The sequence below is a fragment of the Homo sapiens genome, chromosome 4 (assembly GCF_000001405.40).
Source record: "Homo sapiens chromosome 4, GRCh38.p14 Primary Assembly".
Classification (NCBI taxonomy): Eukaryota; Metazoa; Chordata; class Mammalia; order Primates; family Hominidae; genus Homo; species Homo sapiens.
Window position 1 is genome coordinate 91,321,043 of NC_000004.12, and position 24,931 is coordinate 91,345,973.

At 34.5% G+C, this 24,931-nt stretch overlaps 1 protein-coding gene and 1 long non-coding RNA gene across 10 annotated transcripts in view; one reads left to right on the forward strand and one right to left on the reverse strand.

The window, feature by feature from the left end:
• LOC124900733 (uncharacterized) overlaps window positions 1–4,159 on the reverse strand; it is a 56,617-nt gene extending 52,458 nt beyond the window's left edge. For both annotated transcript variants that reach the window (XR_007058191.1, XR_007058190.1), the window contains exon 1: window positions 4,072–4,159. This is a non-coding gene — a long non-coding RNA (uncharacterized LOC124900733). The remainder of the gene's footprint in view (window positions 1–4,071) is intronic.
• The window catches only part of CCSER1 (coiled-coil serine rich protein 1), a 1,477,902-nt gene that overhangs the window by 1,193,649 nt on the left and 259,322 nt on the right, over window positions 1–24,931 (forward strand). The window lies entirely within an intron of this gene.

Below are 24,931 nucleotides of genomic sequence, written 5' to 3' on the forward strand. Positions count from 1 at the left end.
TACTTTCAGTTGTAACTTCTTCCTGTTATTTTATAGGTCAGCCCCAGGGAAGTTAATTAATTTGATTTGAGACCCAAAATTAGTTAGAATAAGAGGATAAACTTGATTCTTATTCCGTAAGTGTTTCTACGCTAAACAGTCTTTTTCAATTCAGGCTCAAATAGGAATGCTATGATAATAACAACTTAACACTTTCTCTTAGTAATTTTATTCTGATATCTGTTTTGGTGAATTACACCACTGTTAATGCTAACTATGAATGAGAGAGGACCTATAATGTGAAATCACTTAAGAATTTATAGCTTGAGCGGCCAAAATTTATTCCATGGCCTGCAATTGATAGAAGAAACATTTTTTTTAGAGGCTCAATGTCCAGACTAGTTGGGAAGTAGAAAATTCCAAAAAGGTGCCGATTGCAGCTTAACATAAGCAATCATTGATTTCTTCAAAAGCAGGAGTATTGAAAATAAACAGTTTTGCCTTATTATTTGTAGTTATGCTATTCGAAGTCAGTCCATTTAACTTATTTTTTTATTGTTCATGAAATACTATCTTTTTAAAAACTCTCTTTTTATTAGGAAATAGATTTATTTAGCTTTCAACTTAAGGTTTTTTATTTTTAAAATGTTTTATAAATGAAATCATGCTCACACTTAGTTTTCCAAATGTACTATCTTCTCTGCAAGAGCAGACAGAACCTTTGAGCATGCATGCCTTCCCATCCTCCCAGTCTTCAGTCATGAACATGTTCATCCTTTCCTCAAAGAAGCCTTCCAAGCTCCCTTCGATCATTTAAATTTATATTTTACTCTCTTATCACACCAAGAATTTCCATAGTAAAAGTTTTCCTTTTACAAGTACAATATTTGTGTTATTATTTGATTAACATCAGTCTTTGTCACAAAAATGGAATTCACTAAGGATAGGAAATGTTGATTTTTACCAACTGTTTTATCCTTAACATTTTAGGATAAATCAAGGAGGATTCAAAAGAGGCACTGAATGAATATCGGATGAATGAATGAATTATTTAAAATGCCACTGAAAACAGAAACATTTATAGGAAAAACAATGCTTTCTCCAAATTGTTTGTCTTTAGCAGGGTTAAAAATCCACTGAATTATATTGATATGAACAAAGCAAAATATACTTCACTTTTTATTTTTAATAAATATTTTTATATTCTTTAAGAATCTCTCCCCTCACTGATCTGTCCCTTGACAGAGAGAGGTGAGTGGCTCAATTTAATTTTTTCTTGTAAATTCATCCCAATTCAATAATGTAAACAATTGTAACTATCTGAGTCTCTGTAGATTTTAGCTCTTCCCCATATCCTCTTTAAGTTGATGTCCAAGTGTTTAAGTCAATATGATTTTGAAAGAGAATATATGAAAATTTGTGAAGAAATTGTTAATAAAACAACTACTTCTAAAAGTGATTTCAATACAGATTATACTCCAAACTCCTAAAGGGTGAATTCCAAGTCTTGTTTTTTTCACTTTTTTCCTTTTATTCAACACAATAACTAGCACATAGTAGTTGCTCAATAAAATTTGGTTAAATGAATGAATTAGAAATACATTATATTAATTAAATTAAGGGGAAACATGAACATTTAAAAGTTTCTGCTGAAAATTATGTGTCTAACCATTATTCACAATGTCTTTTCAGTGCATGACTTTGCTTCAGTTTAAAAAATAGATCTGAAAATCTGATAGCTTCAGTAGATATGAGGCCTAGCAAACATGCCAGATGAATAAAAGAAAACCCAGGTAGTGTGATCAAATTGCAAATCTGATTGTGTTATATAAGAAAAGGGGCTTTTTGATCAAATAGACTGTAAGGATAGAAGTAGAAATAGAGATAAAGATGTTGGAATCCAAAACAGTCTTTCAGTCTGATATCAGAAAAAGTAAAGCAGTAAAGTGAGGTTCTGTTTTCTCTTTTAAGATACAGTAAGATCTGCTGAGAGAGGAAAGCCCAAAATTTAGTTGGAGAAGTGGGATTAAGTATGAATAATTAATAGCCAAACCAGTAAAAGAGGAATATCCATTAGACCTGAGCAGAAACATGCGGGCTGGACTCATTGTAGCCAACAGGAAGATACCCAACCAGGCTGGAAGGGCAAGATACCTGGCAATCCTGAGGACAGGTGTTTGGTGACAGTCCAGGTTGCCTTTTCAGTGCAGATAAACAGATGGTCTCTGCTCTCAATAGGCAAAGAGCAGTGGTTCTCAAGCTTTAGTGTGCAACACCCAGAAAGCTCATTTTAAATGCAGATTCATAGGACTCCTCCTTAGAGGTTCTAATTCCTTAGGTTTAGGTTATGCCTCAGAATCTATGTTTTTATCTAGCACCCATGGAAATTCTGATGCCCTATTACTTTTTCAAAAACACTGAAGTACGAAGAAACATTAGTCTTTTTTCAAGTAAATTGAACTTTTGCTTATGAATGATTACCTAAAATGTACATAATGACATAAATAGAACTCTTGAATTATAGATATTTTAGGTCCTTCTACACTTAGGACACATTTAAGATACATAGGTTAAGATATTTACCTGAATTTCAATTTTGAACGATTTTTCTATAGCAAACAAAAAAGCAGTTTATCCCTCATTTAAACTTTGAACAATCTAAGAAGTCTAAGTTTTCTTTTTGTCAGAAACTCATTATGGTCAGTTTAACATAAGCTTTCTGAACATAACAAGGAAGACCTTGCTAGCGCAATGGCCTATGGATGCATAGTTCCATGGGGAATTTCTTGAATGGAATTCAATTTTCCTTAGACTGGAACTACTTGCCACACTAAAATCCTGCATTAGAGGCTAGGAAATTTTCTTTCTGTTTCTGCATCTCTGAAATATTTCACTAGAAAGCCTAGATTAAGCACAATTTTGTCTTTTGTATTCTCCGTCATTATGTAGTGGACTTTTGGTAAACATTCTGAAGAAAGGCATGCATTTGACATACAGCGACATCTAATTTCACTTATGATAATTTTGACTTCTTACAGATTGTTGTTAAAGCTGGAGATCATCTTAAAGTAATTTAATCAAATCTTACTTTACAATGGAAACAATTTAGGTAGAGAGACATGCCTAACATAATTCTGTCTAAATCAGGACTCCTGATTTATACATATAAGGTTTTATTTTGCATTTAACTGTTCTATCTCCAAAATTATAGTATTTATTCTTATATTATTTAATAGGTTTACTTTTTTCATAATTTGGAAAACATCAGTCTTTCGGGTCTATTTTATGGTAATGTACTATTTGTCGGAGTGTCAAAATGACTTAATTGCTAACTGTGCTCAGCAAAGTGTTTAGAAGAGAATTCTCGAGTGTTGTCAACGTCAACGTGCAATACATTTGTTCACACGAGCAAAATGTTGGTGACAAGTTTTGAAAATGTTGGATCTTTTAAATTTAAATTTCTAAAGAAGTTTTAAATTTTTAAGCTTAAAGAAAAATATTACATAGAACAATATTGTATTATTTAAGAATACAGTAGTTTATATTTACATATATTAACAGATGAATAACAACTATAAACCTCATAGGCAGTGTTATCAATTAGTGATGTCTTTGGCTCTGAGTAATAAACAAACAAAATATGACCCTAGAGTTGTTTGAATAAATACAGATTTTATTTCATTCTAGTACAGGAAATCTGGGAATAGCAATCTAGAGTTAATTGAGGGCCTTACTGAAATCAGCAAGGTGCCGGACTTTTTCTTAAGCCTTCAGTGTAGTATTGAGCATCTTTGGGGAACTGCTGGAAAGGCATGATTATGTTTTGAAATATGAGAAGGACATGGAATTTGGGAGGGGCCAAGGGCAGAATAATATGATTTGGCTCTGTGTTCCCACCCAAATCACATGACGAATTGTAATCCCCTAGTGTTGAAGGTGGGGCCTGGTGGGAGGTGATTGGATCATGAAGGCAGATTTCCCCCTTATTGTTCTAGTGATAGTGAATGGAAATGCAAAAGGCCATCGGACCTGTGGGGCAAGGGGCTTGGGGCCCTAAATAGCTTGGGGCTACCCTTTACCAAGAGGGAGTACCTTATTTCTAATTCCACAGGTGTCAAATGGGTTAGCAGTGGTCCTCTTTTTCTGTCTTCTTGTTTCACCAGCATAGTAGGTGGCTCTTGCCATTATTGTAATTAGATATGGCTGTTGCACATCTAAGCCTGTGCACATGGGTCCTAGGCAGGAAGAAGAAAGAAGAGTTACAAAGGCTTTTTTCCCAAAGAAGCTTTACTTGGAAAATGAAGCCATTTGACAGAAACTATTGCCAATATCTTACTGTTCATAAGTATGCCATGTGTCATCTATAGATGAAAGGGAGCAAGGGGTAGGCAGAAGTATTTTTAGCTAGTACATTATGATGCTGAGAAAACAATCAAGAGAAGGAAGGGAGAATGGGTAACAGATAGGCAGCTAGAAGAAGCTGCCAAGGGAATAATTAGATGAAGAAGGAGACCAAATCAACATAAGCTTTGGGCCAAGGTTAATAGCACTGCAGATTTTCAGCACAAAGATCAAATCTCAGCAGCAAGATTCTGGTAAAATAAAAGTCTCTCCTTTCATCCATTGCTCCTTCCAATACGGCACAAAGCTTCCCAGACTCAGAATTTGGCTGCCTGCCATATGACTAATATGTGAACCAATTCACTTATCTTCACTTTTATACTATTTCAGTTCCAGTATCAATATGACTTCAGCCTTCTCCATCTTCACAACAGACAAAGAAAAAAGAGTTTGGAAAGTATAATTAAATATTTATAACTTACACTGGTATTTTCTCAGAACAAAAGATTAGTTTTAGTTTGAGAAATGAAAATATTTCTTCATTGATTAGAACTTTATGAATCAAATTAGAAATGAACGTCCATCTTCAAAATTCCTAGAGTTTTCTTTGAAAGAGTAGCTTTGTTTTTTTTTTTAAGTTGTTAAATTTGCTTTTCTGAGTTTTGAATTCTCTAATTGCTAGACTGAGAATATGTCATAAATATGTACATTTGTGACATTTTAATAAAATCCTGCTCAGTAAAGTTACAAAACCTAGATTGATTAAATTAGCACATGTAGATCAAAATAAAAATGAGCTCTTCTTTTTATAACCACTGCATTATTCTGTTCTCACATTGCTATAAAGAACTACCCGAGACTGGGTAATTTATGATGAAAGAGGTTTAATTGACTCACAGTTCTGCAGGCTGTACAGAAAGCATGACTGGGAGGCCTCAGGAAACTTACAATCATGGCAGAAGGTGAAGGGGAAGTGAGCATGTCTTCAGGCCAGAGCAGGAGAAAGAGAGTAAAAGGGGAAGTGCTACACAACTTTATACAACCAGATCTTGTGAGAACTCATTCACTATCACTAGAACAGTAAGGGGGAAATCTGCCTTCATGATCCAATCACCTCCCACCAGGCCCTACCTTCAACACTGGGGGATAACAATTCATCATGTGATTTGCGTGGGAACACAGAACCAAATCATATTATTCTGCCCTTGGCCCCTCCCAAATTCCATGTCCTTCTCTTATTTCAAAACACAATCATGCCTTTCCAGCAGTTCCCCAGAGTCCTAACTCATTCCATCATTAAGTCAAAAGTCCATATCCAAAGTCTCATCTGACATACAGCAAGTCCCTTCTGCCTATGAGCCTGTAAAACAAAAAACAAGCTAGTTACTTCCAAGATACAATGGGGGTACTGGCATTGGTTAAATGCTCCCATTCCAAAATAAAGGAATTGGCCAAAACCAAGGGTCTGCAGGCCCCACCCAAGTCCAAAACCCAGCAGTGCCTCCATTAAATCTTAAAGCTTCAAACTAACTTCCTCTGACTCTATGTCTCACATCCAGGCCACTCTGACACAAAGGATGGACTACCAAGGCCTTGGGCAGCTCTGCCTCTGTGGCTCTGGAAGGCACAGCCCATGCAGCTATTTTCATGGACTGGCATAGAGTGCCTGCAACAGTTCCAGGCACATGGTACAAGCTGTTGGTGGATCTATCGTTCTGGGGTCTAGAATATGGTGGCCCTCTTCTCACAGCTTCACTAATCAGTGCCCCAGTGGGAACTCTATGTGGGGGCTCGAACCCCACATTTCCCCTCTGCACTTCCCTAGTAGAGTTTCTCCGTGAGGGCTCTACCCCTGTAGCAAACTTCTGCCTGGACATCCAGGTGTTTCCATAATCCTCTGAAATGTAGGTGGAGGCTCCCACTCCTCAACTCTTGTCTTCTGTGCACCCACAGGCCCAATACCACGGGGAAGCCACCAAGGCTTGGGGCTTACACCCTTTCAAGCAATGGTTGGAGCTGCACCTTGGTCCCTTTTAGCCATGGCTGGAGCTGGAGAGTCTGGGATGCCAGGCACCATGTCTCAAGGCAGCACAGAGCAGCAGGGCCCTAAGCCTGGCCCATGAAACCATTTTTCCCTCCTAGGCCTCCAGGCCTGTGATGGGAGGGGCTGCCATGAAGGTCTCTGAAATGCCCTGGGGGCATTTTCCCCATTGTCTTGGCTTTTAACATTTGACTCCTCTTTTCTTATGCAAATTTCTGTAGTTGACTTGAATTTCTCCTGAGAAAATAGCTTTTTATTTTCTATCACATGGCCAGGCTGCAAATTTTCCAAGCTTTTATGCTCTACTTCCCCTTTAAATATAAGTTCCAAATTCAGGTCATTTCTTTGTTTCTGCAAATGAGCATAGGCTTTTAGAAGCAGCCAGGCCAAATCTTACATGCTTTTGCTCCTTTGAGATTTGTTCCAGCAGATACCCTAAATCATTTCTCTCAATCTCAAAGTTCCACAGATCTCTAGAGTGAGGCACAATGCCACCAGTCTCTTTGCTAAAGCATAACAAGAATGACCTTTACTCCAGTTCCCAATAAGTTCCTCATCTCCATCTGAGACCACCTCAGCCTGGACTTCATTATCCATGTAACTATCAGAATTTTGGTCACAACCATTCAACAGGTCTCTAGAATGCTTCAATCTTCTCAATTTCCTGCCTTCTTCTGAGCCTTAAAAACTGTCCTAACTTCTGCCCATTACCCAGTTCCAAAGCTGCTTCCACATTTTTAGGTATCTTTATAGCAAGACCCAACTCCTGATTTCAATTTTCTGTATTAGTCCATTTTCACACTGCTATAAAGAACTACCTTAGACTGGGTAATTTATGAAGAAAAGAGGTTTAATTGACTCACAGTTACACAGGCTGTACAGGAAAGCTGTCTGAGAGGCCTCAGGAAACTTACAATCATGGCCAAAGGTAAAGGGGAAGTAAGCACATCCTCACATCAGAGCAGGAAAGAAAGTGTAGGAGGAAGTAGTACACATTTTTAAACAACCAGACCTTGTGAAAACTCACTCACTATCACAAGAACAGCAAAGGAGAAGTCTGCCCCCATGATCCAATCACTTCCTACCAGGCCTCACCTTCAACATTGCAGATTACAATTCAACAGGAGAGTTGAGTGGGGACAGACAGCCAAACCATATCAACCACAGAAATATTTTCCGAACCACTTGGATTTTAGATTTCAGTAAAACTTACCTGAATTATTTGTACTCATTAATTAACAGTGAAAGTTTAGTTAAATTATGTGATAAAGGGACCCTATAAAATAAAATAAAACACTTTTGGCACCTGGGAATGTAGACACAATGCATATTTATTTTATTTTGTATGTTATTATTAAAGAGTTGATATGGTTTGGCTGTGTCCTCACCCAAATATCACCTTGAATTGTAATGATCCCCACATGTCAAGGATGGGACCACGTAGAGATAGTTGAATCATGGTAGCAGTTTCCCCCCTACTGTTCTCATGGTAGTGAATAGGTCTCATGAGATCTGAGGGATTTATAAGTGGGAGTTCCCCTGCAAAAGCTCTCTTGCCTGCCGCCATGTAAGATGTGACTTTGCTCCTCATTTGCCTTCTGACGTGATTGTGAGGCCTCCTCAGCCATGTGGAGATGTCAGTCAATTAAACCTCTTTCCTTTATAAATTACCCAGTCTCAGTTTTATCTTTATTAGCAGAATGAGAACAGATTAATACTCTTGTATTAGTATAATATCACATAGAACTCTAATTTATCTTCCACACAAAAAGAGTAGTTAAAATATCTGTGAAAAATAATACACTGAAATGTAAAGGGAAAAATATTTTGAACATATTGATCTTATATCCAGCAATGCTGCTAAGCAATTTTTTAAAAATCATCTTTTCTACAAATAATGACAACTCTAATTTCTGATGCTGTGTGTTAATTTTCTTTTACAATTTACTAAGTAGAATTCACAATAAAATGTTAAACAGAAATAACACAGGTACATTTTTCCCATTTCTGAGTTCAAGGGAAATGCTGTTAAAATATTATCATTAAGTATGAGTTTCCCATATTATTTAGTTTTATGGGTGTGTTAGTCATGTTGGGATCCCATGACTGGGTGGCTTTAAACAGCATGTATTTGTCACAGTTTTGGAGAACGAAAACTCCAAGATCAAGGTGCTAGCAGATCAAGGTGCCACCAGTGTCTGGTGAGGACCCTCTTCCTGGTTGACAGATGGCTATGTTCTTGTTGTGTCTTCACATGGCAGTGTCTAAGTCATCTCTCTTGTGTCTCTTCTCATTAGGGCACTAATCCCATTTATGAGGACTCTACCCTCATGATCTAATTACCTGCCATGAACCTCAACTTTAAATATTTCTTATGTAAAATTGTTAGTGATTCTTTTGTATTTTTTTACTCCTTGCTAGAGTTATAATCATGTCCTCCTTTTAATTCCCAATGTTATTTATATTTGGCTTCTCTCTTTTGTTGTTAAATTTTTTTCCCAGATATTTGCTACTTTTATTAGTCATTTTGCTTTATTGCTCCTCCTTTATTTTTCCTTTCATTAACTTTTGCTCTTAAGAGTATGAGTTTTCCTCTGCTGTATTCTTTGGGTTTATTCTTCTGTTTTATTCTAACTTCTTATTTTGAGTTTCTACTTCATTAATTTTTTGCCTTTACTTTTTTCTAATGTAATTCTTCAAGTGTATTTTACTTCCCTCTAAGTACTGCTTTTACTCCACGTACAGGTTGATAAGCAGTAATTTCATTATCCAGAGCTAAGAATTTTATAATTGCAGAAATGTTATTTATTCAGAAATACATTTAATTTTTTCTCTTACTTATCTTTTATGGTTATTGATGCTTAGGAGGTAGTAGAAAAATGGGATGGAAATTACAGAGATAGATTAATATTGAAAGGAAAAAATTGAGACTAATACTCACTTAGCTGATACTTCAAGTCATGGTGCTTCAAGTCACCGATCACTGTGGCAAATGTGGAGTGAGAAGAGAGCCAAGAATGTCTCTTACAGAGTCTTAGGAAATTTTCTATTTGTCTCTTTCTATTTTTTTTCCAACTAACAGTAATTTCTCTTATTACCCCTCAAAAACATTAAGATAACCCTTTAGCTGAGCTAAGTGAGGGCTTGTCTTCCCCTTGCGGAAGCAACATCCAAATGCTGTAAAGGCTAACTTATCTGGAAATAGAAATAAAAACTCTTCATTATCTTTTCAGTTTTCCAATTTAAAATATCCCTGTTGCAAAACAATCAAGGAGACCAATTGCCCTGGAGAAGTAGTGGCTCAGCTTTTAGGTACTTTACTTTCTATAACAAGTATCCTTCCCAATCAGTGCAGGTTTCACTTCCAAATTACAGTAGTCTCCCCTTATCTGAGGTTTTGCTTTTCACGGTTTAAGTTATCTGTGGTCAGTTGCAGTCTGAAAATATTAAATGTAAAGTTCCACAAATAAATATTTAATAAGTTTTAAATTGCATGCAGTTTTGGGAAGCATGATAAATTCTTGTGCTGTCTGGCTTTGTTCAGCCTGGGACATGAATCATCCCTTTGTCCAGCTTATTCATAACTTATAGGCTAACCTGCTGTTATTATACAGGAAAAACCATAGTGTGTGTAGCGTTCAGTATTATCCTTGGTTTCAGACATCCACTGGGGGTCTTGAAATGTATCCTTCAAGATAAGGGGGAACTACTGTACATGATTCATAGAATGTTGGAAATGGAAAGTATCTTAGAAGGTATCCAGTCTAACTTCCTTATTTTATATTTAGGACAATGGCATACAGAGGAGTTGAATAACTCAATTTTTTATTGCTATTTCTTTAATATCCTTGTCAGATATATTTTCCTCATGTGTTACATCCCACTATGGACACTTTAGTTTTCTTTAATTTTTCATTTTATTACTTAACATGCAAATCTGACCGTCCCATTGTAATTCTAGACCCACTCTTGCTCATGTAAGAAACCCCTAAGGTATCTGCAAGGGCTTAAAAGATCTGGCTCCACATCATCTTTTAGCCTCATCTTGTTTCAAGCTTCTACTGGCTTGCTGCTCTGCCACAGTGACGTTTTCCTTCCTGACGCTTGCCTGCTTCAAGACATTTGACCTTACCCTCTTTACCTTTCTAGTTAATTCCTATTTATTTTTCAGATCTAGAAACTTTTGAATAAAATCTTCCTTAACCTCCCTGACTCTGTCAAGGGCTTTTTACAAATTTGCATAAAATAATAAACATAGAATCTCCATAAGATGTGTTTTGAGCGTTGATTTTGCACATTTAAAAAGATGTCAATTGATAAATACAGTGCCCCACCCACTAGGCTTGTAAGCTCCATCAACACAGGATAACATATCTTTATCACAAGCTGCATGTAACACAACATCTGACACAAGATATTTGTTCACTAAAGAGTACTGCTAGGCTACACTTGAAACTAAGTAGGCCAACTACAAGACCTGTATCTCTCAATAGAGACTCTTTGCAATATATGAATACTTCTAAAACAAAGCTGTTTTCATCACCATCAAAATTAGGCTGATACATATACATATCACAATGAACTTCAGCAATTTGATGTCAATATAAATGAATGATAATAAGACATTAGATTCTCATTAGCTTATTGAAAACTTCCTAATTTCTAAAAATGTACTATATTGGTTTATTTGACATGCTTTTCTTGTGTTGAAATCATTTCGAATGCTCATTAAAAACTAATTTCAAATTATAATTAATCTTATTTTCAGATTCAATGTTGTTATTTTAGAAATAATATAATTATTTATAGCATAATTGAAAAATTCTTAAAACAAAATCATGTTTTCTTTGGTAATCAAAATATAATTTTCTTCTTTTAATCTGGAAAGCATTGCTTACATTGATAATATTATCCCTCTCATTGTCAACATTACTGGAGTGCTTACAAACCCTGTGGGAAAATAGATCAAAGTGGAGAAATTTTAGATATAAATAATAAATTAACTTAAGTCCCTTAGGACTAGGATAAATATAATAATAAATACACTGGAATAATGGAAAATTGTCATTACCATCTAACAATGCTATAATTATCTAGGTACCAGAGTTTCTAGTTCTTTTTATTTTTTATATACAATAGATACATATAATAAATTCCATAACTTTCAGATAAAAAAAAAGGGCCATTTAACTTACCTCAGTTGTAAGGATTTATTACAGCGCTACAAAAGGAGGTAGGAAATAAAAGGTAAGAATATTAACAGTTGTAACATCCATCAAGATCATTAGTAGCTCTAATAGGCAAACTACAGGTCTGTGGAACGTAAGGAGCTTTGTATACTGCTAATTCAGTTTATAGTAACATCACCTTTCTTTCTGCTGCTAAATATCCAAGTGAAATCTGAACCTACTTTTTATATAAAAAGGCCTTGTCATTTTCCCTGTAAAGTTTTAAATAGCTTTATTTCTTCAGGGAGACATTCTGCCCCATTAAAAATGGCCACATAAGTAACATTATTTCTATTATGTATAAAAGTTTATTAAATTCACTGTCTCACATGCAACTTCAGTTTCAAAATTACTTGAGATGAACAAACTTAACTCTCATGGGAGAATGTTTCTCCTTGTTCTTGTGTTAGATTTTTATGCTTATGAGCATCTAAACATCCATTCTTGTCACAAAGGCAATCTTCGCGAAACATCTGCAGAAACATTTGGAATGCTATTGTTATGAGAGGAATTGTCCAAGTGTGCATGTTTTTATAACATACCATTATGGTTGGATTGATAGTCCTGAAAAAAAAGAATTCTGAATACAGTATAATGCACCATCTTAATCATCTACCACTGTGTATCAGACAAAATGACTTGTTTATCATAGAATTCTTCAAAACTGAAATGTAAGTTGCTTCTAGATTTGCAAGTGTTATGTCACCTGAAACATTATTCATTTGCAGTCAACTTATTTGCTGAGAAAAGCATTGTAAACTCTGGCAAGGACTCTAGCTATCTGTAAAACACTCTTACATTTGTACTTTTAAGGCAAGAATCATGTTGCCCATCATATTCATTTGCTATCCCTTCCTCTCTCCATTATATAGGGCTAAAACATAATGACAGATTTTCATTTTATGATTTATCTGCATATTGGGTTGCACCTCCTACTTCTGTGGACCATGGCTTTCAGATATGGAAGCAGAATAAAGTAGAACACCTCTTCTGGCTGTAATATACAATCACAAATCAATAATATTAATAGTGGGACCATGTAAACAATACATAAATATAACTGTTTTCATAATTAAAAAATACAGTCTGTATTTGTATAATCCTGTTAAATGTATTTATAGTTTTTAAAAAACTGATTAAAGTTAGTACTAAGTAGGAGCTGAAATCTGATAACATGAGGTAGAAGGACATACAAATAGCAAAAGAGCAAGACAATTACTTTTTTGGATTGACTTATGTCTGAGTGACATAAGTCAGTGTAATTCTTACATTCAAAACAGATTAACAGTCTCTCAGTTTTTCAAATAATTTTTTCTTACAATAGAAGCAAAAGTTACTGAGAAGTTATTAATGTGTTTTGGAAAATGGACATCATCTATGTATTTTACCAAAAAGCAGCTAAAGAGTTAAATTGAACAATTTAAACACTTTAAAAAGTTATACTAAAAAATTCAGTGTTATTTCAAAACATACAAATGTTTACATAAATGGTGTAATGTATTGTTATTCCATGAGATTCTTGAGATCCTAATTATGTGATAATAGCGACAAAATCACAAGTTTTCTTTGTTATACAGCCAATCTGTTTTACCTCTCTACTTATTTCTTATCTAACCAAAACTCTCTTGCTCATGCCTTCTTCAAAACCAGTGTTTTATTCAGCATCATGCACTTCTCTCAACCTCGTATGCTTCTTGAGGTATGTGTGTCTGGATCTCATTTTATATCCCTAACATTTTACCTAGGTGTTCCCTAATTCATTAAAAAGTTCATTAAAATATTCAGTAAATATCTACTCTGTATTTACTATGTGTCAATGTTTGACACAATTTGCAGCGACAGGTGAAAAGACATGAGAAAAGCAGTTGCTACCATTGTAATAAGGTAGAGAAAAGAAAACACACACTCACACACACACATTCACTCACACACACAGACACACCCACACACCCTAGAAAATCTATAAAACATGGTGGTAGAGAACACTTTTTCCTGATCAGAGAAATCTAAATATGTATGCATCACTTAGCACATTTTGCAAAGGGCTGTATTTGTGCATTGTTTTCCACATTTAAGTGAGTAAGTGTCATCACCTATGATGTCTTTTCTCATGGGTGTGGACGTCTAGTTGAGTGGGACAGTTTCCCTTTCCAATTGTATGTCTATCTGTGTTGGCCATTCTATATTAAAGCCATATCTGCTATGTGCTTCCTAAATCTGTAAAGCTCACTTGGTGAGGAAGATACATTTATTCAGGTCAGTAAAAACTAACATGGGCTGGGATTTAAGAATGAAAAAAAAAAATCTTCAGTGTTTGTGTGTTGAATTCTGCCTGAAGGTTTTCTTACTGAAATGAAATAAAGCTTTTAAATGTTTTTTTTAATTAAAAGACTACTGTTATTCTGAGTAAAATTAATATCTATTCTTTGTAATATTGCAGAAATGAGAATAGGCATTTCTGAGTGGGGATTTTTCAGCCTGGAGCCTGGATTCTCCAGGCTCTTTATAGATTGTTCGTGTTGTCAGCCAATGGTAAACCAGCATCTCAAGTAAGGGAGGAAAAGGTTAGCTAAAGCTGGAAAGGAGCCACAGCATGAAACTGAGGGCAAAATGTATTTTCTGTTTCCTACCCCAATCCCCAGTGAACTTGCCCACGCTATCACAGACTAAGCAGGATGGAGAAAGGCATACCTCCTACCCTGTCCCCACATCCAGACCTACTTTCTAACTCCCTAAAGCTTACCTGTTCCAGGAAGAGAAAACAGCGGGAAGGGTGGCTGTGAAGGAAAGGAGAGAGGACCAGAAAGACTGAGCAGGGTTTTACTGAGCTTTTTCTCAATGACATGAATTAAGTACTTCACTCATTTTACTTATTTTATTAGGAGAAATAAGGCAATGTTGGAGAAAGAGACTGTTTTTCTCACGGGGAGTGCAGAGGAAATTCTTTCCCTTTTCTGGACATAGAAGGGGTATTATAATAATATCCAGAACATGAATAAGGAGAGAAAACAGAGACTTCTTTCAGTGGAGCTGATACCATGTTTTATAGGAAAAGTCAGGGAAATATTTCAGGTGAAGAAGATACAGCATTGGGGCAGTCAGATCAGTGTGTTATTGTGGAAAATGGTGGCCATTTCTTTAGCAGCATCATGAAAAGACAAATCATGTTGACTAGGATTTTTTTTAGAGTTAGAGACAAAAAAAATTGTTTATGTGTGCTCATCACTGTCAGTGTGGAAGAGTAATTTGAGTTTTGTATACATTTACGTTTTAACAACATGCCTTACATAAAGAATCACAAAACCATTTTTGGCCATAATTTACTCTTCATTTGCTGCACTTTATTTTTCTGCTTCTCTTATCATAGCTTTGATCATGAATTGTAAAGGGCAAATTCAGCAAAGCCTTACTTTTATATAACTGCTGAGAAGAAAGGAGGAGGGTATATGTACATAGTAAGAGGAAAAGTTATTTAAAATTCAATTGTAATGATATCTGTGTCTATGCACATTCATTAACTGTTGTTGATAAGAGAATCTCCATCTCATCAAGCTACATTTCCATACATACTGCCCAGCATAGTTATATATCTGTGTTGTTTCTATGCACCTTGCATACATAATTACATTTACTCTACTTTGATTCAGAGTATATTTGAAAATTAGAATCCATTTTTAATTATTGTCAGAATTTTATGAGCTTCAAGTATTTAATATTCTATAAAGCTATAAATCCTACAGAACTGGTCAATAAAGTCCCTTGTCTTTAAGACTTAATTATTAATTCACAAGAAGGTATAAGCCTAGTATTTGCTACGCTATGCCTTTCCCTTAATACATTGCTATACTTGGAGGAATAATGCATGCAAAACACATCTTTGATAAAATGTTCCTTCTATACAGTGAAGATTTCAAACTTCCACTTTAGGAAATGTAGAAAAACTAACTTTTCAGAACAAAATACATAAAGGGCTCAATGCCTAAAATGATTGAAATTGTCATATATACAAAAATAAAACAGTCTTTCAGTAGTAATTGGATAATAAATATGTATTGATATTTATTCTAATTAGAGTTTATTCTAATAGACTTAAGAACTCTCTTTAATTATATTTTAACAAAAACATTACTTTTATCTGATTAAAATTATCTGCCTATAAAATTATAGAAACATAATGTTAAACTTTACTGACCTCCACATTTATGCCCTCAGGGAAAATAACTGTTAATTTGTTAATGGTTAGGTAATATGGTACTTTGTGTTGATTTGATTATGAAGTGATATGTATAAATACATCCCCTTATAATATGTGAATGCATCTTTTTGTTAAAGATGTAAATAAATACAAATGCATATAGAATAAACTAAAATGGAGTCAGTATTAGACCTTTTTCATATAAATGCTTACATATTTACATTGATGACAGCTCCTCAAAAGATATAACAGATGTTAGTTTATCCAACAGCTGCTAACTATGCTAAAGTCTGCACATTTTCAGAAAGAGTCAAGTTTAGATTACTGATGCTATTGTAATGATTTCAGAAAGGGAAGTTAGTCTAGAGAAATTTAGAGACATTTAATGAGTTTATTTGAACTGAATGCAGGTTAGAATGATAATGCTTACTTATAACGCATGAACATCCACCATAATTTTCTAATATACCATATACATTAGAACCAAGTATTACACAAGAGAACCATATTTTTCTGCGTTGTGGTCAAGTCTTGCCTCATCATCTTCTGATACAATGGCTGTATCAGTGGAATAAATCCTGTTCAGTTAATCTAAATTGGAATACAGATTAGAACATCTGGCATTTTAAGAAGTGAGTCTGAATGTGTCACCTGGTTCTTTCCATATTGATATTCCATGCATTAGGCATCTTATAAACTTTGGACTGCAGCTTCTTTACGTAACCCTTAATGACTGTGACCTGTTTGTCTGCTGAGTCTTTGAACTCATCCTGTTCCTAGTTCCTCTTTTGGAGTATTTCTGGGCCTGATTCTGGAATCTGAGCTCTAGCCAAGTGAACATGGATAAAACATTCTCTCCTGTTCCCCAAGGCTTTTTCCTCTCAACTGTAGCTATAACACAGACCCTTTCAAGAACTAGGGATATTCTGTAGACACTCTCTGGGTGAAACTAACATTTTTATATTTATTAATATATCAGGGTTTAATAATAAAAGAATTTGAATTAGTCATAGTGGGACAATCAGGACACTTTAAAGATCTTATCACGTTTAAGTTTTGTTACTGTTACAATTTTAAATTACATAAGGAGAGAGGTATGTGTGGCAGTGGAAGTGGGGGAAAACAGTATTTTCAGTGTTTTGGCCCCAGCCTTGTAAGTTCCTGACTATAGCTAATGCCTTTGTCCTTCTCTTCTTATAAAATCCCTTGAGAATAGCCCTGATCAGATTCAGGATTACTTATCCCTCTTGTATGTGAACACTGACTCTTTAGGTAGATAATCGTATAATCCTGATGAGCTTTTTAAATCCCCCTAGATTGTTTGTGCACTTTCTTTCTCTCTGGCCTAGACATTCCAAACAGCCTTGTAGCCATGGCTCTCCTGTCATTACATTATGACAGTTATTATAAAAGCTGAGAATATAAAAGTGGTTATTAATTATAAACCTGTAAATATATAGATGAATCCTCTGTAGGAGGCATCATGAGAAGAATATAGCAACATACCGTGTAAATCATTCTATTTCAGATTCTTAAGGCACATCACAAAAGTCCAAAGAATTGTCCCTTGGGGCGTGACTTCTGGAGTTAAGGAAACAACTCTGTAATTCTTGAAGAATCAAAGATCAAGTGCCATCATCTAATATTTATTAGGTGAGGGCAATGAAAAATGAAAATAATTTAATACATGGGTTACACAAACAAGTTGACCTGCAAACATTATAATGCATAGATACAACTTAGAAGAAAGCACAGATTTTTAAATCTCTTAAAATAAGATAAACAATATAGTTAACATACTAAAGTGCACTTAAAATGAAAATTTCCAAGTGACAACATTTTTCAGGTAGGAATTAGAAAACAAATTATGCACATTAAGTAATTTACTTCACATAGATGTGGAACTCACTTATATGGCATTTCAGTATCATGTGGGTTAAAATTTAATAGCATATTTCCCAAAATAAAGACTAGAAAACTGGAATCCATAAAATTTCCTGGTGATGCCCACATGCTGATGTAGTTTTCTCTTTAAATATATATATTTAAAAGCACAGAATTTTTTGTTTTAACACCACGTAGCAGTCTCTTGAAATACAGGCAGTTTGGCCAAAGATACTGCATTCATTTGAAGACCACTGTTCCTTTACCATTCAATTTCTCTTCTGCCTTCCCTATCATATCAAGTAATGAGTTTTAAAACTATCTTTTTATTCTTCTGACTTTTGGTCCAAAATCATTGATTTACTTGATGCTTATGAATAGTCTAGCATATAGAATTGTGCCTCAATGCTGAAGGAATTTTGGTATAGGAAACTCCACATTACATCAAGTAAGTATATCTTTGCTTTAAGAAGCCTTGATGTCCTGGGAAGGGAAAACTGAAATGAAAGATAAGACAATTAAGAATGGAGTCTAAGTGAATTCTTAGCACTTGCCATACTGCCAGACACTAAATGATTGTGTAATAAATATTATATTAAAATAATGAATACATTAATAAAGTTGAAAGATTCCTATATAGTTCCTCTTTTTATTTTTGATCACTTATGAATCTTTGTTTTTGAATCACTTTTTAAGTGAAAGAAAAAAAACCCTATAGTTACTTTATCCGAGTTAATATGGGGGGGTAGGGCTGACTTAAGGCTGTTGGATTTAGAAATAAATAGAGCTCTCAGTTTTTGACATCTCTTCATACTTGTAGCTTTGCTTTTCGCTGTGTTTGACTTCAGTCTCTGCTTTTGAATGGTAACAAGATGGCAGCATCAGTTGCAACATTCTACATCCTCTCAGATTTCAGTACCACTTTTTTCTTTACCAAAATCTTCCTCAGAATAATACTCATGATGTACTTTTGGTTCTGGTAGGGAAGATACAGCTCTCCCCCTCTTCTCTGTAGGGGATACATTCCAAGACCCCCAGTAGATGCCTGAAAGCATAGATAGTACTGAACCCTATGTATACTATTTTTTTTTTCTTTACATGAATACCTACGACAAAGATTAATTTAGGCCAGGTGCCATGGCTTATGCCTGTAATCCCAGCACTTTGGGAGGCTGAAGCAGGCAGATCACGAGGTCAGGAGTTCAAGACCAGCCTGATCAACATGGTGAAACCCCATCTCTACTAAAAATACAAAAATTAGCCAGGAGTGGTGGCACGCACCTGTAATCCCAGCAATTCAGTAGGCTGAGGCAGGAGAATCGCTTGAACCCGGGAGGCAGAGGTTGCAGTGAGCCATGATCACACCACTGTACTCCAGCCTGGGCTACAGAGAGAGACTGTCTCAAAAAAAACAAAAAAAGATTAATTTATAAGTTTGCCACAGTAAGAGATTAACAACCGTATCTAATAATAAAATAGGATAATTATAACATATATTGTATTAAAAGTTATGTGAATGTGGTCTAATTCTCTCAAAATTTCTTATTGTACTACATTGTGAGTAACTGAAACAGTAGAAAGTGAAACTACAGATAAGGAAGAATTACTGTCTACACCAACAAATCAATCACTGTCCTGAATTAAATATGTGATTTCCATCAAATGCATTTAGTAGAATGTAAAGAAGAATTTTTTTCCCCAGAGGGAAATTTGGATATAATTCCATGAAGAATGAATAGAGGCTAGTTGACAAAAACATTTGCTGTAGCCTTTGAGAAGAATATGTATGACTATTTTGATTTATGGGCTTTTTTGTTAAGTAATTAAGTCTTAATAGTGTCAGGAAATTGTGTTTTCATATGAAAAGAAGAATTGCATATTAAATGTCTTTAATTTGGTATGTGGTGAAGTTATACATGCTATCTTCTATCATACTTTGATAATATATTATAGATAATTACAGCTTATAAATCTAATTTAATGAAGATTGTGTGGTGTATACATCTGTTTAATTGTTAGTTTGGACTTCTTTTTGTGATTTTGATTTTAGGTTATCTTTCCATTGCCTGCACAGGAATTTCTATATCAATTCACAGTGGGCACCACAATATGAAATTGTGGGAACTTCGTTAAAATAGAGCCAGTGTTTCTAAATTTCTTTAAGTATCTCTGCCTGGCTTTAATATTGCATGATTAATATAAAAAATCATTTAGCTTTTGTGAGTTAGTCAGGATCTATTGGCCTAGTTTCAAAAGTTGGTCTCCTGAGCATAATGGACATAACTGAAACTCCTGTTAAGTTTTTCCATTTTAATGAAAATATTAAATGACTTGTGGAGTAGCATGGCAAATTTGCTGCCCAGATCTCAGAGGGGCAGGCTATGATTTCATTCAGCTGCCTTCTGCTGTTTTATTCTCAACATTTAGAAACTTTATTAAAATGATTTCAGTCCTTTGACTTTGTTTTCAGATCATTGCTTTCTAAGGTGACTTAGGTTTTTATTTTATTTTCATAATTTTCTCTTTATAATTGAAAGCTACAAAAGGGCACCATAGAGAATGGAAAATAAAAATGCACTGATTAATTCTGTGGTTTTGCTTTTCTGAACTGTGGATTGAGTAAAGCAGTGTAATAGGGTGATATGCTTGGAACTACAAAAAGCTTTGGTTTTAGAAAAAAGTTCTAATTATTAGTTTCAGAATATAACTAACTACAATTAACATTAAAAGTAGCTTTAATGGTTTTCTGATAGAGAAAAAAATTGAATACAATTGAAAATGCACTTTAACATTTAGCATGTGCATTTAGAATAAAATGATAGTTTTTTGGTTGTTTGTTTTGTTTTGTTTTTTGTTTTTGAGACAGGGTCTCACTCTGTCATCCAGGCTGGAGTGCAGTTGTGCCATGTCGGCTCACTGCCTCCAGGTTCAAGCTATTCTCCCACCTTAGCCTCCCGAATAGCTGGGGCTCCAGACATGCACTACCACCCCTGGCTAATTTTTGTATTTTTTGGTGGAAACAGGGTTTCACCATGTTGGCCAGTCTGGTCTCTTGACCTCAAGTGATCCGCCTGCCTCGGTCTTCCGAAGTGCTGGGATTATAGGCATGAACCACCGCACTTGGCCTAGAATAAAAATGATAGTTATTTAGTGCATTTCTTTTACTTGGAAAATATAAAGACTTTTACCAGGACTTTTGGCATTATGTATTTTACAAAATTATTGTTAATATTTTCATGCATCTACATTAATTGCTGTTATATATAAAGTAGGAAAGGGCACAGAGTAAGAGGAAAGGATGCAATTAAATCTAATCAGAGGGTAAAAGTTTAAATTCTGTATTTCTGTCACCTGTTTTGCTGCATAAAAGTGAATAGGCTAAAAATCTAAAAAAATAGGAAACTTCACTACACTAAGCATTTGAAATATATTGACATTTGTAATTTTTACTACAGTCTATAAGATTGTTAAAATTATCATACCCATTTCTAGATGAAGAAGGCCAAAACCCAGAGAGGTTTACTAAGTTCACAGTGTCCCACAGTTAAATGAGTAATAGAGCTAGAATTCAAACCCAGATAGCCTGATCTAAAGCTAGACATATTAGCCATTACTTTATATCTTTAATATGGACATAGTAACCATTACTTTATAACCTTAGACTTTTTACTTAGTCTTTGGATACTTTGGTTTGTATGTAAAGACTAAGTGCTAATACCTTGGAAAGTCACAAAAATATAAGGATTGGCCTACTCTTTTTACCAAAGTGTTAAACATGTTGAAATTTCTCAGCATATTCCATGTGTATAATAAATTAGGTACTAATTTTTGTTTCTTTTATTTCTGGCATATCATGTTCTGTGTATTTTTTCCCATAAAAACAAAGTAAAACAAAAGATAGGGTTTTCAGTGTCTCATTTTGTGTTAGTAACTCAGTTCTATCATTGCCAACATCTAACAAGAAATTCCTGACTCCAGGAACAGTTTTACACATACAACAATAAAAGTGATTCCATATGTCCTTCTAAAATGTTTCAATTACATATAGGTTGTATGCCTATTGTCAGGCATAGGAATGTATACATTCCCTGGTCACTTTCCCCACTGATAAATGCAGCTTTCTTTTCATTTGTTTTATTTGGTTTCTTTACAGAATTATGTGATTCATCATTTTCCTTGAGAACATTCATGTTAAGTCATTCAAGCTTTGTGATTAATTCACTCCTTTAAGCAAAAAATTTAAAGTTTATTATATTTTTATATGTAAGCAAATAAATGACATTCCCGTACTAGGAATATAAAAAATTCAGTGAAGATACTGATTTTTGAAGTGGTTGAAATCTGTGTTATATAATACATTATAAATACATGTTACAAATTTATAATAAAATATTTACTGTTGCCTACATGGTAGTAACAAGGATCCCAAATAATAAAGATTAACAGTTTTTCCTTTTTGCCCAATTTCTTCTGAAATTTTTCTTATCCTCTATTTTAGAATCTGGAAGAACACTTGGTACATAGTATGTGATTAATAAAAAATTTTAAAAATACTTAAATTTTATTTAATTGTATGATGCAAAAATCTTTCCTCATTAACCTGAAATGAAATTCCACATTATATGCTTGACAGCTTTTTCTGCTTTAGCTACATGTTTTCCCTTTGCTCAGAATTTTAACACAAATTGATTTGTACATCAGAAAATCCTTTGAGCAAAACAGTGAAAATAAACACACTAGACAATGACTTACCATTTAAAAAAATACATTTTCTAGAGATAAAAGTAAATCTTTCTTGCACTAATCTCTATGCTATTATTTCCAAAGTGTGAATTCACTAAGTTGGATTATACCAGAAATGATTGTGGGTGCTCTGAATTTAAGGAACGTTTATTTACAGAAGGAGAATTAAATTTCCTTTAACAGTACCTACTGTTTCTTGAGATAGAATTTTTAATCAAATTTTAGCGTGGAGATGATAGATCTTTAACACCTTAATATATTCAACCTCTTACTTTAAGAAAGAGAGAGGAGGTACTAGACTAAGCCCCTCATCAGACAATACGATCTATGTAAAATTTAACAATATTGGTCTGTTTTCATGGTATTTATTTGTGATGACTATAGTCTATAGCAAGTGGTACTGGTTTTCCACATGATACTGAAATGAGATTTTCTCTACACATATATGTAAGTTAAAATTTGAGTTTAAGAAATGTAAAAATAAATAATAGGTAGTACACTGATATGGCCTTTGAAGGTGATATGTGGAAGACTGAAATTTAGGTAACTGCCATTTATCATTGGAATTAGCAGCTACTATGGTTGGATGTTTGTGATCCCTCAATATTCATATGTTGAAACCTAATCCCTAATGTGATAGTATTAAGAAGTGGGGCCTTTAGAAGGTGATTAAGTCTTAAGGGCTTCGCCAGCTGAATGTGATTAGTGTCCTTATAAAAGGGATCTGAGAGAGTTTGTTTGCCCCTTCCTCCATGTGAGAACACATAGAATGCACCATCTCTGAAGAATAAGGCCCCCACTTGACACCAGTTCTTGCCAGTGCCTTGATTTAAGTTTCCCAAACTCCAGAACTGTGAGAAATTTTTATAAGTTACACAGTCTAAGTTATTTTGTTACATCAGCCCCAATGGACTAAGACTTCGGCATAATAATTATAACAAAGAAATATCTACATTCTACATTTTAAAGCATAATAATGATTTCTTCCAATTTCTGATATGGAAAGAAAAAGTAAGTGTAATGTAATGTGTAGTAATAGACATGGTTTATAAGTGTTTTAAAATAATAGAAAATATAGAATAATGCAGAGCTTCCTGTGGAAAAGTAACAAAATATTTAGGTACAGATAATTGTAGAGTTGTTTAATAAGTTTTTTGGTAGCTTTTTAACCTCAAACTTTGGAGTCTACAAAGGAAAAAAAAAAAGGAATAAAAGAGATTCTATTTGAAGAAATAGTGAATGGCATTAAAAGTTTCTTGAATGATGGGAAAGTTGCTATCTGGGAAAAACTACTTTAAAGTAAATGTAATCACAGAGATACTAGGGAAAAGCTAGATATTTATAAGCCTCTACATGAAATTCATACTGGGGGATAATATTACAGTACTCAAAATAAATGAATTATAAAGGTAAATATGTAAATATTTGAAATGATTATTCAAAGAGGTCGAGTATATCATTAGACAGACTTCATAAATGTTTATGAGCAATAAGTATGTGCCAACTTAAGTAGAAAATATTAATTAACAATATAATCTCTCTGAGCATTGAAAAGAAATTAACAGAAGCTGTTAAAATATTGTAAGTGCTATGTTCCTTGAAGAAGGAAGCACTTTCCTAACTGTTCCCTGGAGTTGTTGAAAATCTTTATTAGTGGCCTGGCACGGTGGCTCACACCTCTAATCCCATCACTTTGGGAGGCCAAGGTGTGCAGATCACTTGAGGATCAGGAGTTCAAGACTGGCCTGGCCAATATGACGAAACCCTGTCTCTACTAAAAATGCAAAATTAGCCAGGAGTGAGGGCGGGTGCTTCTCCAGCTGCTCAGGAGGCTGAGGCAGGAGAATCGCTTGAACCTGGGAGGCAGAGGTTGCAGTGAGTCAAGATCCTGCCACTGCACTCCAGCCTGGGAGACAGAGTGAAACTCCATCTCAAAAATGAAGAAGAAGAAGAAAAAAAGAAACTCTATGAGCAATATGATCAATTTAAAGTAAAAATTATTTTCAATGAATAAGTATTTATTTAGGTAAACCTTTGCAACAAATTGGACTTTTCTTTTTTAATTAATAGATTTTATTTTTTGTGTAGTTATAATTTATTTCTAAAATGAGCAGAAAGTGCAGGTCCCCTGTATCTCCTTACCATGCCCCACTGTTTCCCTGATTATTGACATCTTGTATTAGTATAGTATTTTTGTTATATAATTGATGAACCAGTATCAATACATTGTTATAAACCAAACTCCATAATTTATATTAAGGTTTATTCTTTGTGTTGTGCCTTATATGAATTTTGAAATGTATAATAATATGGATTTACTCTCATCAGAGTATTATGTAGGACAGTTTCACTTCCCTAAATTGCCCTGTGCTCTCCTATTCATCCTTTCCCCTCATGCCCCACAAACTCCTGGCAACCACTGATCTTTTTACTGTGTCCATAGTTGGCCTTTTCTAAAATGACATATTGTTGAAATCATAAGAGTATATATAGTCTTTTCAGATTGGATTACTTCACTTA